This window comes from Homo sapiens, chromosome 1, assembly GCF_000001405.40.
Source record: "Homo sapiens chromosome 1, GRCh38.p14 Primary Assembly".
Taxonomy (NCBI): Eukaryota; Metazoa; Chordata; class Mammalia; order Primates; family Hominidae; genus Homo; species Homo sapiens.
In genome coordinates, this window is record NC_000001.11 from 185,546,263 (window position 1) to 185,568,511 (window position 22,249).

The 22,249-nt window shown below is 39.8% G+C and overlaps 2 long non-coding RNA genes across 2 annotated transcripts in view, besides 1 other annotated feature; one reads left to right on the forward strand and one right to left on the reverse strand.

The window, feature by feature from the left end:
• Positions 1–22,249, forward strand: part of LOC107985239 (uncharacterized) — a 202,893-nt gene that overhangs the window by 68,250 nt on the left and 112,394 nt on the right. The window lies entirely within an intron of this gene.
• LINC01350 (long intergenic non-protein coding RNA 1350) overlaps positions 12,117–22,249 on the reverse strand; it is a 70,110-nt gene continuing 59,977 nt past the window's right edge. The window contains exons 3-4 of the long non-coding RNA NR_110793.1: positions 16,906–17,066; positions 12,117–12,413 (exon numbers count right to left, since the gene is read on the reverse strand). This is a non-coding gene — a long non-coding RNA (long intergenic non-protein coding RNA 1350). The remainder of the gene's footprint in view (positions 12,414–16,905; positions 17,067–22,249) is intronic.
• Positions 19,361–19,561: a silencer, noted in NCBI's record as "peak505 fragment used in MPRA reporter construct". NCBI's record gives its function as "represses an SCP1 promoter by STARR-seq MPRAs in K562 erythroleukemia cells {active_cell/tissue: K562}" and the evidence as "EXISTENCE:reporter gene assay evidence [ECO:0000049][PMID:32103011]".

The following is a 22,249-nucleotide window of genomic DNA, read 5'->3' on the forward strand; positions in this document are numbered from 1 at the left end:
GGCAGCTCACAACACGGCATCTGGCTGTCATCAGTATTAACACGGTAGAAGCCCGAGTCTTTTTGTAATCTCATCTCAGAAGTGGCATCCCATCACATTCACCACAGTCTGTTTGTTAGAAGAAAGTTCCTAGGCCCAGCCCACATTTAAAGGGAGGAAATTGTACAGGGACATGAATACCAGGAACTGGGAATCAGGGGAGCTGTCCTAGAAGCTGCTCATCACACATGTTAACAATTGGTGGCACAGGGTGTTGTTCCATTAAATGGGTCTGGTACTTTGGGATATGTTGATAGTAGTTTGATTCAGAGGTTATAAATCTATGCATTGCAATCCAATAAGATATTGAACAATGAGATGGAGACAGTTGTACTTACCTCAGTTCCTATGAAGGAGAACATTGTATTTATTTGCAAATAATCTCTGGTTAGGTGGAAACAGAAGTCTAGAAGACAGGGAAGTACTTTGTATTCAGGATGATGCCACAGGATAGAGTTCACAATTCATAGCTGTGGAGCTGGTTAAGCTCTGAGTAGAGACAATTATGTCAAGATGTCCTAAAGACAGGAGCTGCTGCTGACACCTGGACCACACTGATTTGCAATATGGAAGGTTTAAAATAACTTTGGAAGATTAGGTTTCTATTTAGACCATGGTGATCAAACTACACACTTATATTAGTTACCCATTGCTGAGAAACAAATTACTCCAAATTTAGCAGCTTAAGACAACAGACATTTTTAGCTCATGTTTTCTAGGGGTCTGAATCTGGGAGTGGCTTAGCTAGGGGATTCTGGCTCAGGGTGTCTCATGAGGTTTGACTGAAGATGTTAGCCCAGGCTGCTGTCATCTGAAGGCTTGACTGGGACTGGAGGACCTGCCTCCAAGGTGGCTCATATTGGCAGGTGGCCTCAGTTCCTCACCATGTGGGGCTCTCCATAGGACTGCTAGAGCATCCTCATGACATGTCATCTGGCTTCCTCCAGAGTGACTGATCCAAGACAAAGAAGCAAGGAGGAAGCCACAAAGTTTTCAAATCAGCATTTATAAAGTACTTCACTCTTTCCAGTCATTAATACATAAATGAGCAGATAAGTTCAGGATATTTCAGATCCAACAGGGGCATGAATTGTGTGTATACCTGATTTAAAAAAAAACAACAAAAACAATGGGGACAGTTTTGAAAGTGCCATCCTTCCTAAGATAATTGTTGTAGAAGAAAAAAGAAAGTGCCATCCACTAGCCAAAGTGAAGCATGTGCTAGTTTTTCTATGTTAGATTTAGTGGTAAATGTAAAAAAAAAATCTATTTACTTCAGTCAAATGCCTAATCAAGAATAGTTCACCATTTAATATGCTTTGTAACACTGAAGGAACCTCAAAATCACCCAGTGTCTTTGGTTCAGAAGGTCACTGAGCTTGCCAAATTCTTTTTATTCACTGAATAAGAGTGTTTTTGAAAGCAAGCATTACACTGTGTGTGAAGAGGCAGAAGTCATACATGATTGAATAATTTGGCAGAAGAGATTTCTTGTATTTTTCACCTCTATGATCTTTGAAACAATTGCTGCGCTTGTATTTGGAGAGTGGTTGTGGCCTACAAATTTTGTTAAGTACATGCTGTCCATCAGAAACTATGGTTATTGCTTGACCATTGGAATTAAGCCATTTTCTGCTTTCAAAACACCCATAACAATTAGCTTTTAAACTTTTATCTTTTACCATTAAGTAGCCTCATATAATTATCACAGCTTTTTTTTTTTTTTCCAAGGGAACAATTTCACAGATCTCTACCATTGTGTTATAAGGAATATAGTAAGAAGGAAAGATATTTAGTTTCCCCAACACCAAATCTGTATTAGTTAGGATTCTCTAAACAGACAGAACTAATAGCGTATGTATATAGATATACTAGAGGATATTTATTAGGAGAATTGGTTCATGCAATTATGAAAGGTGAAGAATGCCATGACAGGCCATCTGCAAGCTGGAGACCCTTGGATGCTGGTAGCATGGCTCAGTCTAAGTCCAAGGGCCTCAGAATCAGGGAAGCCGATGGTGTGACTCTCAGTCTGAAGCTAACAGACTCAGAACCCGGGCGCCACTGGTGTTAGTCCTGGAATTCAAAGGCCAGGGAGCCTGGAGTTCTGATGTCCAAGGTAGCAGAAGAGAAGTCTGTGCCAGCTCTCAGAGAGACACTAATTCCCCTTCTGTTTTCTCTCCAGGCCCTCAGCCTATTGGATGATACCCACCAACACTGAGGGCCAATCTTCCCTACTTTATTCACTAGACTCACACTCTAGTCTGTGCTGGAAACACCCTCCTAGACATACCCAAAATAATGCTTTACCAGGTTTCTAAGTATTCTTGAATCCAGTCAAATTGACAAGCTAAAATTAAATCCACAAACCCACCCCTTGTCAACTTGGCGCCCATACACATCTCCTTAAACCATACTTAATTTCTAAAAGAGATAATAACGAGATAATAGTTCCACCTAACATGACGCAATATGATGTGATTGTGATTTTTAGGATTTTAGACTTCAGACTTTGGGGTGTGTGTGTGTGTGTGTGTGTGTGTGTGTGTGTATGTGTGTGTTGAGATAGGGTCTCTGTCACCCAGGCTGGAGTGCAGTGGTGCAATCTTGGCTCACTGCAGCCTCGACTTCCTGGGCTCAAGTGATCCTCCCACCTTAGCTTCCCAAGTAGCTGGGACTACAAGCACACACCACCATGCCTGGCTAATTTTTGTATTTTTTGTAGAGATATGGTTTTGCCATGTTGCCCAGGCTGGTCTCAAACTCCTGGACTCAAGCAATCCACTGCTTCAGCCTCCCAAAGTGGTGGAATTACAGGCATGAGCCACCGCACCCAGCCAGCTTGAGAGATTTTGATCATCAAGGATTTTGATCTCAAATGCCAATAGTGTTTCCAACTGGGAAACATTTCTCCCCTTTCTCTGCAGTCCTGCCTCTAGTCTAGGTTGTAAACTCTGGGAGAAAAGGGACATGTAGATTTTCTTTGCTGCCCTAATCTTAGTGCCTAGAAGAGCACCTTACAACCTTACATGTAGTGAGTGCTCAGTAAATATTCGTTGAATTAACCAAGTGCCATTTATGGAGACAGACTGATGGATAATTAGATAAAGATAACAAAAAGCTGCTGACCACAGTTTGATTTCCTTAGGCCTTTAATTACCTTGTGTTGGGATCCTGGATATATTGCTGTTGTGTCCTAGAGTCTGTTTTCAGTTGGTAAAGTGGGATATTCGAGGTTAAAAGGGGGAAAAAAACAAGTTGTGATTCTTCTTTTGGAAAGTCAGACTTTCCCAAATGCAAATTGGCTATCAGTATGTTAATATGTTCTCTAAACGTACCTATGATTTTATCAGTGATGGAAAATATTGTTAAAATATATTTGTGTTTTACAGAAACTACATTAAAAGACTTTTCCCTCAATATTTCAAGGAAAACTTTTCATCTTTATTTTGTCCTTTCTCTTCTTCTCAATGTTAGTTTTTGTATTATATGGAAATTGCTTTCTTGATTAACATTTAAAACGTCTGTCCTCTGGGGATGTCTTTATTTTGTGTTCTAGTTATTTATACCACCAAGGAACAACTTTATTAAAAAAAAGCATTTAGCTTTATCAAAAAGCAAATATTTACAAATTATTTTTCTGATGGCGTCTAGTGTTCATTTCACTTTCTTGCCTCCTTCTGTATTACAGTATACTCACACATTGAGTATTTAAAATTCCTTTATGAATTTGCAACAGAATCCCCCTGCAGCCCCCTCACTCCAGACATCTAATTAGTGTTTCCTGTCACAACAGCATATTTTTTGTTGCATAAAATTGCACACTTTTTTTTTTCTTTTTGGTACTGGAAATGGTGTTTTAACAGGGGGAAGTGCTGGATTCCAAGGACCTGTCTTCAAGGCTGGGTTCAGAGCAGCTATTCCCATAATGGCCCCTGATCAATCTACCTTCTCATTTCTTTTTTAAATACCAAGTCTCTTGGTAAATAATGGTAGCAAAAAAAAAAAAAAAAAAAAAAAAAAAAAAAACGAAAAAGAAAACCTCTTCTTCTACAGGAACACCACTTTCCTGGGAGTAACTGCCATGATTTATAGACTGGTGTTTGTCTGGTTAAGTTGTTTTTGCCAGTGCACACAGCAGCAAATCTTATCAGAATCTGCTTTCCTAGGCATTTCTTCCACCTCTTGATATGCAGTCATTTTCTTTCAGTAAATATTTGGACGTTCCCAAGTGAGCTCCGTCAATGATGCTTTATTTCTCAGATGGGATAACTGAGAAGCGTTGTGTTCATGTGTGTGGATAGGTTGTTCTTCCCTTTTCTTTCCTCTGAAACACTTTTTAAGACATAAATCTTAAATACAGATAGGACTTGGAGGTGGTGGAGGAGGGGTGGGGGCTTCAGTCTGTCATTACAGTTTTAACCAGAGAAAAATAGTTAAGGCAGAACCTGTAGTGGAAAACCAGAGGCTGATCCAAGAAATGGCCACAGGAGAGCCTTGAGTTGGAACAATCTCTTGCTGAGATGGCTAGTGGTATATCCGTGCAACTCTTTTTATCAGCTTTATTGAGGTACAATTGTATGCCTAAAAAATTGCACATATTTAATGTATATAATTTGTCTTGAATAAAGATTTTTATAATTTTATAGGAAAGAAGCAGCAATGACCAAAATTAAATAGACTCCTGTCCCTTTATGTCACAGAGATCTGAGAAATGAGAAAAACAGGATTGTTCTGATTTTTTTTCTCAGCTAAAGTTATCTCAGAAACACAGATTAGAGTGGAACCTTTTCTACCATGCTCTGAGGGGCTGTGGATGATCCCTGGTATGGAAGGAGTCACCGGTGTGTCTGCTGAATTGCTTCCTCGTGACCCTCTGCCTCCAGCTGTTTCCCCTTGCTCTGGTTCTCATTGCATCAGGGCCAGCATGTGCCCTCAGAGGTGGGTGGGGCATGCTCATGGCAGGAGAAGCAAGAGCCCTTGGCTCCCAGTGGTTGATCTAAAGGACAAAACTTCTTCATTAGAAAGAACAAAATAAATGCTTCTTGGCTGAAATCTACCAGCCTAGGAGTGAAGGAAGCAAGTCAAGGGGCTAGGAGGAAGTTGGTAAAACCTAAAAGCATTAAGACATGAAAGGTCTGTAATCTGACCTCAACTTACCTGTTCGGTTGGATTTCTTGATACTCCAACAGGACTGAGATGTGAAGTTTCTGCAACAGTCCTATGGTCTTTCACCTTCGTGCCTTTGCTTATGCTAACCCAGGGCATGCCCTCCAGGGAGCCTGCTGTGATCTGGATGTTTGCATATCCCCCAAATTCACACACCTCTAAGATTATTGTATTAGGAGATTGGGACTTTGGGAGGTGAGGGAGGGTGGAGCCCTCATGAATGAGATTAGCGCCCTTACAAATGAGGTCCAAGAGAGACCACTTGCCCTCTACCTTGTGAGGACAGCCAGAAGGTACCATCTATGAACCAGAAAGCCTTTACCAATTGCTGAATCTGCTGATGCCTTGTTCTTGGACTTCCTAGCCCACAGAGTATGAGAAATAAATTTCTGTTGTTTATAAGGTATCCAGTTTATGGCATTTTGTGATAGCAGCCCAAATGGACGGAACCTGCTCTGAATCTCCTTTGTTAGATGTGTCCAGATTTTCTTCTTTCTTCTTCCATTAATATCCAGAGCATAACTCTATACTGTGCTGTTACATTGTCATATCATCTTTCAATGCCTGCCTCTTACTCGCACAGCTCCTTGAGGGCAGGGGCTATTTGTTATTTGTGTATTCCCAGGGCTTAGACAGCGCTATATAGGCACTTAATGTTTGTTAAGTAATGAATAAGACAGATCAAGAGTATGTAAACAGAAATGACCCACAAGGTAGTTGCATCTTTTGACTTTAGAGTTAGGACAAGGGCTATTATCAAGGGTGTTCTAGTGTAACCCATCCTGGGCCTAAGAATTTAAAAGAAAGTTGTCTCAGGTCTTACCATTGCCTATATCTTGTGGACTTCCAATCAGATTGAACTGAGCAAATTGTCGTACTAAGCTAATTAAGTACCAAGTTAATTGTTGTCATTTTATTTTTTCATAGCTTTTGAGTGCAATTATTTAATGTTCAGAGTGCAAATGCCAAGACCTTTGCTTTAGCAGATAAGACACTATTTACCTACTTACATAATTACATAATTTACATAATTGTTTTGTTTCCACGTTGTTTGATCTATCTTCTCTCCACTCCTTTTTTTTGTTGTTTTTTTTGTTTTTTGTTTTTTGTTTTTTTGAGATGGAATCTCACTCTGCCACCATGCTGGAGTGGCATGATCTCGGCTCACTGCAGCCTCTGCCTCCTGGGTTCAAGCGATTCTCCCACTTCAGCCTCCCCAGTAGCTGGGACTACAAGTGTGCGCCACCACGCCTAGCTAATTTTTTGTGTGTTTTTAATAGAGACGGGGTTTCACCATGTTGGCCAGGATGGTCTCGATCTCTTGACCTCGTGATCCACCTGCCTCAGCCTCCCAGAGTGCTGGGATTACAGGCATGAGCCACTGCGCCCGGCCTACCACCCCTTCTTTTTGCTTATGTTAGGGACTTTTCTTTAGTTCTCTTCTTACTACCTTTGTATTCTGTTTTAGAGAGTTCAAACTATGTCTGTGGATACTAATGTTAAACTCATTTTTTCCTTTATTTTTCATAGTTCCTATGATTTTAAGATTTGATTTTGATGTAACTTTCTCTCTCTACTCTTCAATAAATCAAGTCTTCTTATCAGGCAAGAACAATGTCCCTCTTGCAGTTTCAAGTACAATATCAATATTGTATTTGAATTACATGTAATAGTAATTAAGTTTTATTGAGCATTTCCTGTACACTGTCCAACTATGTAAATAATTTACAGGTTTTAGCTCATCTAAACCCTCCTCATTAGGCTAGATGTGGTGGCTCACACCTATAATCCTAACACTTTGGGAGGCCAAGGTGGCAGGATCACTTAAGGCTAGGAGTTTGTGACCAGCCTGGGCAACCTAGTGAGACCCCCATCTCAAATAAATAAATAAATAAAGCCTCTTCACTATGAGAGACACCAGTAAGTCTGAAACTTAGGTCTACTTTTCTATAGTTTTAGCAGCCTCAGTGTGGACATCTCTCAGTGCTTCCACCCCCACACCCCGAGGTGCACAGGCTCTGGGGCAGGATGGCTGAAGCACAAATCTCAGCTCTGTCAACAGCTAGCTGTGTGATCTTGGGGAAAGTTTCTCAAATTTTTGGTGTCTCGTTGCCTTCATCTATAAGATGAGATAATAACAGGACCTTGACAATTGTAATGTGTGAAAAAGTTCATATGTATGGATCAGTATATTTGTGTTCTGTGGTTGCCATAATACATTAACACAAACTGAGTGGCCTAAAACAAGAGAAATTCATTCTCTCACAGTTCTGGAGGCCAGAAGTTCTAAGCCAAGGTGTTGGCAGGGCTGCACTCTCTTCAAAGGCTCTAGAGGAAGATTCTTCCTAGCCTTATCCAGAGGTGGTTCCAGATGTTCCTTGGCTTGTAGCAGCACAGGCACAATCTCTGTCTCTGTCTTCCTGTGGCCTTCTCTTCCTTCCCCACTTCTCTCTGGGTCAAATCTTCTGCCTTTCGTTTAAAAGGACATTCGCATTAGATTTAGAGCCCACGTGGATCCACCAGAATGATCTCATCTTAAATTTCTTAATTTTTTTTTTTTTGAGACAGGGTCTCACTCTGTTGTCCAGGATACAGTACAGTGGTGAGATCTCAGCTTACTGCAGTGGCTGAAGTGATTCTCCAACCTCAGCCTCCCAAGTAGCTGAGACTATAGGTGTGTACCACCACATCTGTGGGGTTTCACTATGTTGCCCAAGCTAGTCTCAAACTCCTGGACTCAAGCAATCTGCCTGCCTTGGCCTCTCGAAGTGCTGGGATTACAGGTGTGAGCCACCATGCTTGGCAAAATCCTTAATGTAACAACATCTGCAAAGCCTTTTTTTTTGTTTTCAAATAAGGTCACATTCACAGGGCCTGCTCTTCTGTAACTGCCTCATCTATAATATCTCTATGCTCATAAGCTTGGAAGTCTCAGTTAATCCTTGACTGTGTTCCTCACTGCTCTCAAGTACTTGTCTGGCAAATCTGTTGATTCTACTTTCAGACAGCTCTCTTTTCTGTGCCTACTCCTGTTAGTTCTTAGTTCAAATTCTCATTAGGATAAGAGTTATTCTTTCCTACAGTTGTTTGCATTTCCAATTTATGCTCTGCATTGCCTCTAGATATGTTTTTCTAATGTACACCCCCTGCCTAAAAATTCCAAAGGTTTTTTGTTGCACACAGTTATAGTAATAATAGCCAAAACTAGCATGGGTATCTCTCCCATTTCACTAATAGGGAAATTAAAGTTCAGAAAAGATCAAATGAGGAGCTGGGAATGGTGGCTTACGCCTGTAATCCCAGCACTTTGGGAGGCCGAGGCAGGGGGATCACTTGAAACCAAGAGTTCAAGACCAGCCTGACCAACATGGTGAAACCTGTCTCTACTAAAAATACAAAAAATTAGCCTGTCATGGTGGCGGACACCTGTAATCCCAGCCACTCAGGAGGCTGAGGCAGGAGAATGGCTTGAACCTGGCAGGCAGAGGTTGCAGTGAGCCGAGATTGCGCCACTGCACTTCAGCCCGGGCGATAGAGTGAAACTCTGTCTTGGAAAAAAAAGAAGATTAAATGATATGTCCTCAAGATCATGTAGCTTTGTAATTAGCAGAGACTGAAATTGAGCCTAAGTCTTCTAAATTTATGCTTTGATGTCCAGGGCTTAGTTTATTACTTGAAGTATTCACACAATACTTCAAAGTCAACCTTTTCCCTTTATATTCCTGACATTCCTTGACATTGATCTGTCATTCCACCCATAACTTCCATTGTTCTACGATGATTTTATGCCTTTACATTTTGATTGTTTCTACCAGGAGGGCTGGCTCACCTCTTCATTTTTTCCTGACCCATTTTTCTATATTTTTTTTCTTGACTATGCAAGGAAAGTTCACTTACTCTGCGAAGCCTTGCCCAGGTTAGATGCTTACTCCCTCAAAGCTCTGGTGGCAACTTACACATATTCCCATTATAGCACTTCCATATCATCTTTTCATTGTTCACATGTCTTTCTGCACAAACATCTCACTGATTTATATAGCCCCAGTGCTCAGCTCATCAGAGATGATCAGTAAATATTTGCTGAAATATTTCAGCTAAAATTGCAGAACTAAAAGAAATTGTTCTTTTAGCTCACTAAAAATCAACTTATCAGCCATTTGAAAAAATAAGAAATGTAATTACTAAGTTAAGAGGCAGAGCTCTGAGTGGGAATATGGGAATATTGAAATCTCTGTAATAGCTCTTTTATTATAGTCAAATTAGCTTCTCACCCCTTGAACAGGTGGTGACTATTTCTAACTCTGTGCCTTTACTGAAGCCATTCTCCTCCCACAAATGTCCTCCCCACTACTCTGCAGTTTTCTAAATTCTACCCATCATCAAGGCCAAGTCCTATCTACTCCATAAAGGAGCCCTCTCTAACCTACCCATCCCATCTCTAACTCTACTGTGCTAAGCCTCACAGTGGCAGTTTCCTGACTTTATTGATATTGCCTGTACACTCTGTCTGTGAAGGAATAAAAGCATAGTTAAATGTTTACCTAGTAATAAAGCAAAAGTCTATATACATTATTCCATTTTTAATCTTCAAAAAGTCAAGTGCTTTGATAAGTGAACTGTGTTTTGGAGAAGTAGTACACTGATTTTTACAAAATGAAACTTTTGATAAGAGGTATATGCTATAGTTTGAATAGATATGTTCTTCCAAAATTCATGTGTTAGGACCTAATATCCAATGTGATAGTATTAAGAGGTAGGGCCCGTGGGGAAGCGATTAAGTCATGAGTGCTCCCAGTCTGTGGTGTTTTGTCATAATAGCAAGAATGGACTAAGACAGCCTGTATTAGAATCTAACAGTTGTTCTGCAACATTGAGTCCTTCCTACTTCCACAGTCATGGAACTTTTAGGTGAGCATGCCACTACCTGAAATAATGACTCCATTTTCCATGCTCCATTGCAACTAGGCATGGCCATGTGACTAAGCTCTGCACCTTGAGATGCATATAGAATTGTAGTGTGGTAGCTCTGGGGGAGCCGTGATTAAAAGCTAGTGCTTATGTATACTTTGTTTTTCTCTTCATTTTTTCCTCTTGGAATATAAATGCTACCATCTTGGAAAGTGAATGAATAAATTAAAAGAAGAAGCCTGGCTGGTCTATAGTTGCCAGATTTAGCAAATAAAAACACAAGATGACCAATAAATACTTCATGGGACATACTGATGTTGAAATGTTACTCAATGTTTATGTGGAATTCAGATCTTACTGAGTATTCTGTGTTTTATCTGGCAGCCCTAAATGGAACCCCACTATGGAATGCTATACCCACCCTAAGAAGTCTCCCAGGACTTTATACATGAGAGAACTAAACCACCATCATATTTTTCTGTCGCTTACAACCAAATAGAATTCAACAACTTCAAAGCAGAAAAAGAGGCCAACCTATGTCTTCTCATACTAAATCTCATGATTGTAACATGTTATCACAATGCCTCTTTGGTGAAATGACTATAGATCTGCCAAATTCTTCAGGGTCACCAGTAATTGCAATATGTTGTATTTCATATACTCTTTCATTTTTTAAAGAACTTTCATATGTTTGAGTTTCTTTACTATTTTCAATGATCTCACTTCTTAATTTTGCAGATGAAGTTTAGAGATTTGCCTAAGTTTATTTAACTAGTAAGCAGTTGGTGTGGGGCTTGAATTTGGAACTTCTAACTCTGAGTTTGCTGGTCTTCCTGCTAGTCCACAGCTTCCCCTCTTAAATTGGTAAATTCACTAGGAATAAAATGGCAGAGAAGGTGCCTCCTGTTGTAGGGATTTATTGGAAGAAAAGAAAGGCCATGCTCTGTCTCATACCTTCAGGTACCACAGGTGCAGCATCTGAGTCCCCTAAGGCTCATGGAGAATGAGTGTGCCAGGGAAATAATGGCTTTAGCTGGGAGGGACCAGCACCTTAATTCTCTCACACTACTGCATAAAAATAGAAGTTATCGGCTGGGAGCAGTGCCTCACACCTGTAATCCCAGCACTTTGGGAGGCTGAGGCGGGCGGATCGCCTGAGGTCAGGAGTTTGAGACTAGCTTGCCCAATGTGGTGAAACCCTGTCTCTACTAAAAATGCAAAAATTAGCTGGGTGTGGTGGTGGATGCCTGTAATCCCAGCTACTCGGGAGGCTGAGGTAGGAGAATTGCTTGAACCCAGGAGACGGAGGTTGCAGTGAGCTGAGATCACACCACTGCACTCCAGCCTGGGCGACAGAGCGAGACTCCGTCTCAAAAAACAAAACAAAACAGAAGTTATCTTGATCATATTATTCTTACTACTTGCTGAAAGCCCTACTAACTTTTTGGTGGCTTTGAGTAAGAGTTCACTTTACCCTCCAGCAAGGAAGTCATGCATCTATATAGAAGTTTGGATCAAAACTCTGGTTTTTCCGCCGGGCGCAGTGGCTCATGCCTGTAATCCCAGCACTATGGGAGGCCAAGGTGGGCAGATCACCTGAGTTTAGGAGTTCTAGACCAGCCTGGCCAACATGGCGAAACCCCATCTCTACTAAAAATACAAAAAAGTAGCCAGGCATGGTGGTGCACACCTGTAATCCCAGCTACTTGGGAGGCTGAGACAGGAGAATTGCTTGAACTCAGGAGGTGGAGGTTGCAGTGAGCTGAGATTGCGCCACTGCATCCCAGCCTGGGCGACGGAGTGAGACTCTGTCTCAAACAAACAAAAACAAACAAAACTCTGTTTTTACAAACTGTGGTTTCTGGATAGGTGCTTTAGGGGTTCAGCAAACATTTGATTCAAATGTTGTTTTCATATTTATCTTAACCATGATATCTACGATATTAATTAGCAGGGGTAAATAATGCTAGCTGTTGTAACAAAGACCCCAAAATTAGTTGTTTAATACAAGACCAGTTTATTTCTTGCTATTCCAAACCTATTAAAGATGTTCCCGCCCTGCAGGTGGCCTGCTACATGGTCCTTCAGAAACCAAACTCCTTCCATATTACAGCCCTGTCCTCCTCTAGATCCTCAGTCCTTTCCAGCGTGGTCCAGTTGTTGAGGAAAGGGTTGGAGGGTTGCCATGGGGGGTTTGCCGGTGCCAGGTCTGGAAGTGGTGCATGTCCGTTCTACTCATACTTCACTAGCTGGAGCTCAGACAAATGACCACAGGAAGGCTGGTAAATATGGTTGAGCTGTGAACCCAGAGAGAAAAGGAGCTGATTTTTGTTAAGGACACAGCTATCTGTCTCTACTACAATTTTTAAAAATATCTTTTAACTTTTGGGGCACTACAGCTTACTACTATGTTGCCAATGTTAATAACTTGTTTTGGTGCAGATTTTGGAATTAAGCTTCTTGTTTTATTTAGTTAAAGAATATCCTAAGGTTGAAAGAAAGGCTATTACAAAAACATCTGTTACCATTTACAGTGATTTATCTGTGGCAATCACTGTCATCCTTGACAAAAGTCATTGCAAAGACAACACCAAAATAAATTATATTCTAAAACTGATGTATGTTTATAAGTCATCCATAAACTCAGATCTCATTCATCTAAAAACACTTCCTTGTTCTCAGTGACTGACTTTATAATATTTAACAGAAATGTGAACTTATAAAATAAACTTATATTAATAGAATATTTTTATCTGTTCTGGATATATTGAGGTTGCCTATAAGGTTTATCTTGAAAAGGGTTCCACTGCTTAACAAATTTAAAACAGTGATACTAAAGTCTCTTCTAGCTCTAACATTTATAATGCTTTCTATTTTTATATGCCATTGAAAGAAAGACTAACTCCTGATTGCATATAAATGGTGCAATGCAAGTTAAGTTATTTTCCTTAGTAGAAAAGTTAAGTTGCACTGGGAAAACTGTTGCATAATGTGCTTCCCCAACCTGTAACTTAAATCACTTAAATACATTATTTTAGAAATTCTCAGAGACTTGAAATCTTCTGAGGTGTCTACCAACTGATAATCCATGCAAATAATTTCCACAGCTTGTTTGATATTTGCAAGTGAAACACACTTTTGCTTGTTCGTAACTAAGCTCATCTCTCCTGCATTAACTATAATGTCAAGTTTGGGGGGGGGGGCGGCTCTTTAATTAAAGAGCCCCAGACCTTTCAAGGATCAGCATTGATTGTCTTCTGCTTCAGATCCCTTCTTGATTAGGTTTAAATGTCCTTTTTGGTAACTATGGGCTCCTTTGTTGCTCCTTTAAAGGAGTAGCCCCCTGCCTACCTCACTCAGAGGCTGGTTTGGGCCTGAAATATATAACCAGACAATCCTGCTATGTATCTGATATTGCGGAGGCTAGAGGTGCTGTGGGTTTTGTTTTCAAGGTTGCAGATGGAGTTGAAGGTCATAATGCCTTTTCCCATGACTGCTGGCAGCAGCTGCAGGGTTACTAAGGGAATAGCCACAGACCACAGTGTGATGAGAGGAATAAACTCAGGTGACTCTGCCTGTCTGGCTTGTATAAAGTCTTACAGTCCTGCCTTCATTGGGGAGTCCTTGCATAGGGCCAGCCAGGCTCCTGGAACCATCACTGCCCTCTACTGGATCAGCATAGGAGTCCTTGAAGCCCAGTGGGTCCTTCTGATGAAATGGGTGTTAGCCTTTGAGCTCTGAGGAAGTGGCGACCACAGAATTTATCCTCAGTTCACCTCATGCACTTAGCCAGTGACAATGGTTTGCTTGGTTTGACATCTGCTTGTACTGAAACTAGTCATATCTGTGAGATCTGTCAGATGCGGGTTCTATTCAATTTGGTACACTTGTACAGAAAATACCATTTTGGGTTTGAAAGCAGATACATTTAGATCAGAGACATGAAAAGACAAAATGGCTTTAGAATGCTGAAAAAGGCCTTGGCAACTCTGAAATGGTGTTTTCATTTAAGGCTAATTTGTATGTCAAAGCAGATTCAGGAAAGTCCATTTGAGAAAATCCCCTTAGAAGTGACTATTATTTCTATTATGGTTAGTCTTTAATGTGCAGAACACTGTGGAGCTGGGACAGTGAGACTTGGCGGCCCATTTACTTTAGCCACCAAATGTGACTTTTTTTGTGCCCAGAATCACTTCTGTTACTTTTTCCAGAATTTCTCATCCCCTTCTACTTATTTTCAGTCTTTTTTTTGACCCACGCCTCTATTTTATTTTTCATCCAACCCTCTGCAATGAATGACAAAAATGGAATACTGAAGGAGAAAATAACTTAAAGCTATGAAATACATGTTTGATCTACATGTTCCTTGGAGAAAGTGTGGAACATTCAGACAAGAATAAAGAGGAAGGTTAGATCACCCCGATTGCTCTCTGCACCCATCCTTCTCCACCTTGCTGAGTGCCTGGGGAAGCTGAGCTCCATCCAAAGGCCCCCTTGCCTTCGGACTTCTGCTGGAGTTTTGCCTGTGTGAGTGAAGTTGGGCCTGACTTCCTTCCTGTGGGGTTGCAGCTGGCTGTCTGTGTGCCTTGACTGAAGGGCACAGCTCTGTCCAGCAGCCCTCTCTCTAAAGGTTCAGGAAACCACTCTTTCCTCCAACCCCTTCTGGCCTAGGCTGCTAATGGGGCTGACCCTAGGAACCCGTACCATTCTTCACTCATACCTCACATATAGACCCTTAAGACACTCTCCTCAAATTACCCAGTATACGAGTTTTATCAGTTTTCTGCTGAAACCCAGGATGGTCCAATCATAATCCCTACTTAGAGATAAATATGGGTAATCATGTTGGAGTATCTCCTTAGCTACCTTTATTTATTATCCTGTGGGATCAGATTAAATCATGAGTTAGAGATGTAGCCTAATTCTGTGTGTACATCTTTATATCTTACCTTATATCTTACCCCTCCCACATGTAATTACTTATGAGAGTGACCCCCTATTGTTAAAATCTTCCCTATCTCAAATAATGAACTTTATTGACTACTTTTTGTTTCACTATATGGATAGAACTGAATTTATTTTGGGACTCAAGAGCACCTCTGTGATCTACCTTCTGAATCCCCTCAAACTTAGTGGCTTATGTATTTATCTGCTGGTTCAACTTTGTAAGACAGAGGGTTTGACTGGCTCAGTGTGTCACACACCCCCTCTGGGGTACCCCTACTGGACAAAAGCTCAAGCTGGGTTACCTCGTGGACAATTGAGCCTCTTTATGTTCAGCCTTCACTAACCTCAGTGGTTAAGTGACTTCTCCTAGTTCCCATCCTAGTAAATTGCAGAGCTGGAACTTGAACTCATGACTGCTGTCTCTAAACCCAGGGCTTATCTACTCCAAAATGTATTTGCCAACAATGTAAAACTCAATCTCTACATCTAACCACAGAAACCACAGTTGTAAGTCACAGAAGAATGTCAATTTTTTAAAAACGTGTGTGGTTCCAAAGAAATGGGCTATCAAGCCACAAAAAGACCTGGAGAAAACGTCAGTGCATATCACCAAAAAGAACTCCACTTGCGAAGTCTACACACTGTAGGTTTCCAACTATATGACATTCCAGAAATGGCAAAACTCTGGAGACAGTAAAATGATCAGTGGTTGCCAGGGGGAGGAAGAAGAGATGAATAGGTGGAGCACAGAGGATTTTTAGGATGGTGAAACTACTCTGTATGATACTGTAATGGTGCATACATGTCATTATACATTAGCAAAAATTCACAGAATGTGTACCTCTAAGAGTGAACCCTAATATAAACTATAGTCTTTCGGTGATAATGATGTGTCAATGTAGGTTCATAATTGTCACAACTGTACCACTCTGGTGGGGGATATTGACAATGGGGAGGCTGTGCATATGTGGGGAAGGGGGTACCTCTGTACCTTCTGGGAATCTCTGTACCTTCTGCTCAATTTTGCTGTCAACCTAAAACTGCTCTGAAAACTAAGATTTCTTCCTTTTAAAAAAATGTGTAGTTCCTTTTAAATTGGTATCCTATTAATTTCCATTGCCAACAGATTTACTGTGTTTAACTCTAGTTTTCATTTAAGAAAAATGACTGACTTTTTTATCACAAATGTCTGCAATAAATTGACATTCCCATCACAGGGGCTTTCTCACTGGAAACCTATTTTCCTATTGTTATTTTAAAGCAGTGTCAACATCCATCTCCTACATTCAGATAATGTGGACACATAATCAATTACCAAACATATTTAATTCAGAGGCCTACTGAAGCGTTTCACACTTGAATCTTGTAGTGAAGATATTTACGAGATTGTTTTTATTTAAAGCCCTAGAGATTTAGAGGAATAAACTAGAAGCTTAACTTGAGACTTTCAAAATCCTGAGATCTATCCAGGCATCCATCATACATGACAGAATGATTATACCACCCCCAGAACTAGGTGCTCGATGACGCACTGAGTTAATCTCTTTCTATTCCAATGTATACTACATATATCTTTTATTCAATATATTGAGTACAGAAACTTAAAGCTCAGAACTTTGACATTCTCATGCATTAATTTCTTTTTGTTTAAACAACATAAAGAGATAGTCTTCATTAGAGAGGATCATAATGGACATATGTGGATAGGTTTTCCTGTTGGTTGCTCAAAAAGTAAATAGCAAAAATATGTGTCTCTATGTAAACATATTTTCTGAAATTGGGTCAAAAGGATCAATGACTAGTTTGTGGTGTGTGAGTCCTGTGGACGATGTGTGTACTGACCATTCATGCTTCCAGAGCTTCCTTTCTGTTGATCAGGGATTACGGGAATGATGTTTTAGAAATTTGGTCACCTGGTTTGTAAAGTAAGGTCTTCCTGGGCAGAGTTTTGCTTTTCCCTTTGTCTTCTGAGGTAGATTTATAGGCAGCTCTTGTTATTTACACTAAAGGAAGGAGGAGAGAGAGAGATTTTATAAAATTGGATAATCCTAAAATCATTTGGGGGGTGTTAGAATTCATAGTTTATTTTTTAGATAACAGATATGTTTCCTTAATTCATTTTCTTTGGACTAATTTTAGACATTTATTCCTATTACTTGAACACACAGTGGTAAAAGGCAGCAGAGGCATTTCTGAAGCATGAAGGATCATGGGGGAAAAGAATGAGATTAAAATTTTGCTATGGATATTGCCATGTTGTTCTTACACAGTTAAATAACTTAATTCTGTGAAATTTGCTTACAGTGTTGTCTTTTAAGAAGTTATGTACTGTAAAATATATATGCATATGTAAATTTTGTTTATGTATATTTCTGTAAACATATTTTTATTCCTTTATATATAATATACTTATCTATTATATTCCTGTATATTTTATTATATGCATATCAAAATATATAATTAATAATATGTTATATATAATTAATAATATATGTTATATAACATATAATTGTTATAGTCCTTCATATGTTATTATTATATGAGCTTTATAATAATATATAAAGGAATAAAATAAATAAGGTTCTGGTTCTGCCATTGATTTACTGCATGATCAGTGTGGGCTGGGAGTAGGGTGACCAACCATCCCTCCTTTGCCTAGGACTGAGAAGTTTCCAGGGATGTGGGACTTCCAGTTTTAAAGCCAGGGTGAGCTGTTCAGCTGAGCTCAAGGGAGTAGCCATGGACCAGGCAGGGGTGAGTTTTTTTGGTGGCCCAAGCCAAGTGTATATTGCAAAAATATAGTGAGCAAAATAGTGGGTCAAGAAAAGGGTCAGAGGAGAGTTAAGGGGCAAAGCTGAAGTTCACAGCCACCCAAAGTTTTAGACAATGAAGAGTGTTTCTGCAAGGAGCCAAATGAAATTAGAACAAGCTGGGCCCATTCTAGGTGAATAATGAGGTATGGTTCTCCCAGGAGTTCTAGAATAGTCAGTTGGCTACTGTAAGGGTCTTCTCATTCCGTTCCCTCTGCTGCAGGGACCACCTGCTCCAGGACTTACAGAGCCAATAGAGAAAGTCAGCACTTTCCTTCAGGGAAGTAGATTATTTTCATCGTATGCAAGGGATAAAGTAAACATTGGGGTTTAACAATGAACTTTTGTTTCTTATTTTCATTTTTGAAAAGTACTGAGTATTTAATCTTATGAGTATATAGGAAAATTGGGTGGTATTACATGACACTCCAAAATGCTTTCCCTAAAAGTTACCCTCCCATGGATGAGAGTGGTCTGATGGATAGTGGTGGTCTGTGATTTTACCCTACTCTTTCTCTATGAGAAGAGAGGCTCAAGTTTCCTTCTGGATCTAAATGGGTAGAATATGTGTCCAGCCCCTACGGGGTATATTGCCTCTCTCCATCCTCTGGCAGGAGAGGTGCTACTCTGCACCGTGGTATATTTACTTAGTGTACTATATACGTTAACAAATTTAAAAATGTATAAAGTGGAGATTTATGAATACAGAGAAAATAGGGGTAGGGAAAGAATGGTAAATCTAGAAGTGAATCCACAAAATGCATGCTGAGAGGTTCTGTATGGTGGATGGGCAAGGGCCCCCAGTTGGCTTTGTGCCTAGAGAAAAACATGGTCCAATAAGTGAATCAGTGTCCATAAGATACAACAAGCCAGTGCCAGAAGACAAGCTCAATGCTTCTTTGTATGAAGGCAAGAGGGAAGTTTTTCCAGTGGGTTTTCCTAAGGAGGATACTTCGAAATGTAATGAGCCACATTCTCAATAGTATCTTGACAGGCATTTCATAGAAGTGCTTCCTATAATGTTCCTCAGATAAAGGCTGATGGCATAAATTCACAGCTCAATTCAATAAAAATTCCTATCTTAAATTCTTTACAGAACAAAGTAAGGTATGAATATACACATTTTTAAAAGTCATCAAAAGATGGCAAGAACTAAATGAGACAGTCTAGGTATGAAAATCTCTGCTGGCCTGGAACCACCCAAAGACAGATTTTAGAGTATGCAGTGGAATGTCTGGATTTTCAATCCTTCAGGCAATTCTCCGTAATGGTGTTTCTAAAACAAGCTTTTGAAGTATTGAAAGCAATGAGTTTGATGGGATCCTGCCTGACACATACCTCCTGGAATTCACTCTGCCGTGTGGCTGATTATGTCCGGAACCCATTGATAATTCCTCATGTCAACGTTGGGAATGCAAGCACAGACAACACCTAAACAGAGGCCAGCCTGCCTTTTCTTGGAGGTGGGCCAAGGAATGGTTATGGGAGCGTGAAAGCTCTTCTCACAATTCTAGTTCTTCCCCAGTGCATGGAGTAATGGAAGGGCCCCAGCATTCTATACCTGTAGAACATTATGGTAAGAATTGAAGTATGCGACAAAAGTTAAACTCTTTTTGAGTTCTCTTGGTCCATGGGGAGCTGAGGTTCTTTTTTGACCGGGCCTCAGATACATCTCTTTGGCTTCATTTTAACACTGTTCTCAAAATCACCTCAGAATGGTACCTGGAACCTCCGTTTAACTCACTCCTTGGTTCTACTTTGGTTGCTCTATGACTGTCCCACCTCCCTCACCCCCCTCCTCCACCCCCCATGCTCTGAGCAGCTTGGCCTATGTTTTCCCTTTATCTCTCTCTTTGTTTTCTTTCTTTTGGCCCACCCTCCCTCCTCCCCTCTCTTCTTTCCTTCCTTCCTTCTTATGCCTGCCTTTCCCCTGCCATAATTCATACCTAACCTCACAGGCTCTTTCAGAGCTGTTAAGTAAAATTCTATAAGTAAAAACGCTCTGTATAATTTTTTTTCACCTGCTGCTCAACCTACCTGGTGACCCAGAGCTCCAATTTCTCATAAGAATTGCCACTACCTCTCTTGATTAAATTTTCAGGTTCATATTTTTGCACAATTGTTTTTTATAAACATGCATGAACACAAATAGGATTATTTATGTGATTTATTTCAGTCAAATTACTCTGATTCCAACCAATCTGAAGACATCTCCAACTTAACCATGGTTTTGGACATGATGCGGTGGGGGGGACAGTAAACCATGTTTTTTATTATATCCTGTCTTTGACAGATATTAGGAGACTAGACCAGTATGGAGTGAGATGACATTGTTAGTGATTTTTTCTTGGGATGCTTATCACATTGTACAGAATCTCATGTTGATCTTTCTAATTTTTTTTGTAATCCATGCAAGCTGTATATTTCCTTGTAAAAAATTGATATTTGGGAAAATATTTTTACCCTGAGAAGTTCCCAGAAATAGAGATTTTCTGAATCTTATGAGCTATGAGACATTTAACCAAAGAAAATTTTCAAAAACTATTTTAAATGGAAGCTCCATATATATTGTGCTTAATTTTGTCAAGAGACATAGTCTTAGGAGCACTTTTGACAAAATATCTGCTGTTCTGTTGATAACCTTGAAGCTGACCTCTTTCCCATTAAAGAATTAACATTTGGAATTTTTATATGAATGAATAAAACTGCAATGTCACCTTCCATTTAAGCAATATTTTTCACTTCTTTGGCATTTCTAGCCAGTCTTTTTTTTTAATTTGTGTCCTTGAGGTAGTCATTCATTTTGGATCTTAAATATCAAGCTTTCAGCATTTGTCCTTTTAGAGACTGTGTCATGAGGCTGAACTCTAATACTTGAAAATGATTAGAGTTTGCCACTTTACAACCGTTCTGATAGTTCATCACCTGCTTGGATTTCAGCTTACTCTGTAAATTCAGGTACTTAATACCTGACTCTGAATAAAAATATTTTGAAGTGTTTTAGCAACCAAACAAACCATGCAATGAGAAAGAGGTGCAGACGACTCGCTTGTGGTTATGGTTGTCAAGGAAACCATTTCCGTATATAGTGTTTGATAACAGCCATGTTTTTTTAAAGGCCATAAAAACAAAGCTTGTCCAGAAGTATGAAGAAGAAAGCATACAATGAAATAAGCCACAGCCAACTAGAAGTTATGAGAATGCATTAGATGCAAAATGCTAGATATCAATTGATGAGATGTTTTACAACATAGAAATTAAACTCAAGAGGGATAACATGTTGAAAAGTGTGGCAGAATGGGGGTGGCAGCAAAATGCCCTTGTTGAGGCAAGGTCAAAGTCTCACTATGTTCTCAAAATATACTGTGTGCATTTTTAGAGAAATTGTTTAATTAAACAAACAGCTTCATCTTTGCCATACACAAACTCGTGGAATGGAATTTAAACAGCTTTGATAACATAATCAGTGAGAGGCTTGAATATATTGCCCAGCAATAGACTAGATTGCTAGAGCTACACAAGCTGCAGGAAATGGAGAGCTTATTTGGGGGTTTTGTCTAGTTTATGCTACGTTTTGCTTTAAAAGAGAAATGAACTGTAGTGCATAGTGATGCTGAAGATCTTTATGGAGGAAAAAAGATCCTAAGATGTTGATTATGGATAAAGTCTATTTTGAAAGCTCTTTCTCAAGGTCTATACATATAGAGCAAAACCCCAAGGAGGAAAAGATGGCTGGGTATGGTGACTTATGCCTGTAATCCCATCACTTGGGGAGGCTGAGGCAGCAGATCACTTGAGGTCAGGATCTCAAGACCAGCCTGGACAACATGTGAAACCCTGTCTCTATTAAAAAAAAAAATAGCTGGGCATGATGGTGCATGCCTATAATCCTAGCTACTCAGGAGGCTGAGGCAGGAGAATCACTTGAACCTAGGAGGCGGAGTTTTCAGTGAGCCGAGACCGTGCCATTGCACTCCAGCACTCCAGCCTGGGCAACAGAGTGAGACTCTGCCTCAAAAAAAAAAAAAAAAAAGAAAGAAAGAAAAGAAAAGAAAAAAGAAGAAAAAATGATGTTGGTTTGACATTACAGATTTTTATTCTAAAATATGGTTTCCCATTCATAAAATGTGAAACATAAAGTATGAAAGATGTGGCAAAAGTGGAACTGTAAGGTGCATGATTCTATAGAGAAAAGGGGTAAATTGAGCCTAGTCTGAAACTATCCAACCTACAAAAAAAGAACATGTGGTTTAAAAGATACATGATTTGACATGTTGGAAGCCAGATGAAAGTCCAATGAAAAGACATAATTTCTGAATAGATTCTAATGTCTAAAAGAAATGATTTCATTCTTGCTCGAGCAATTTTTTCTTATT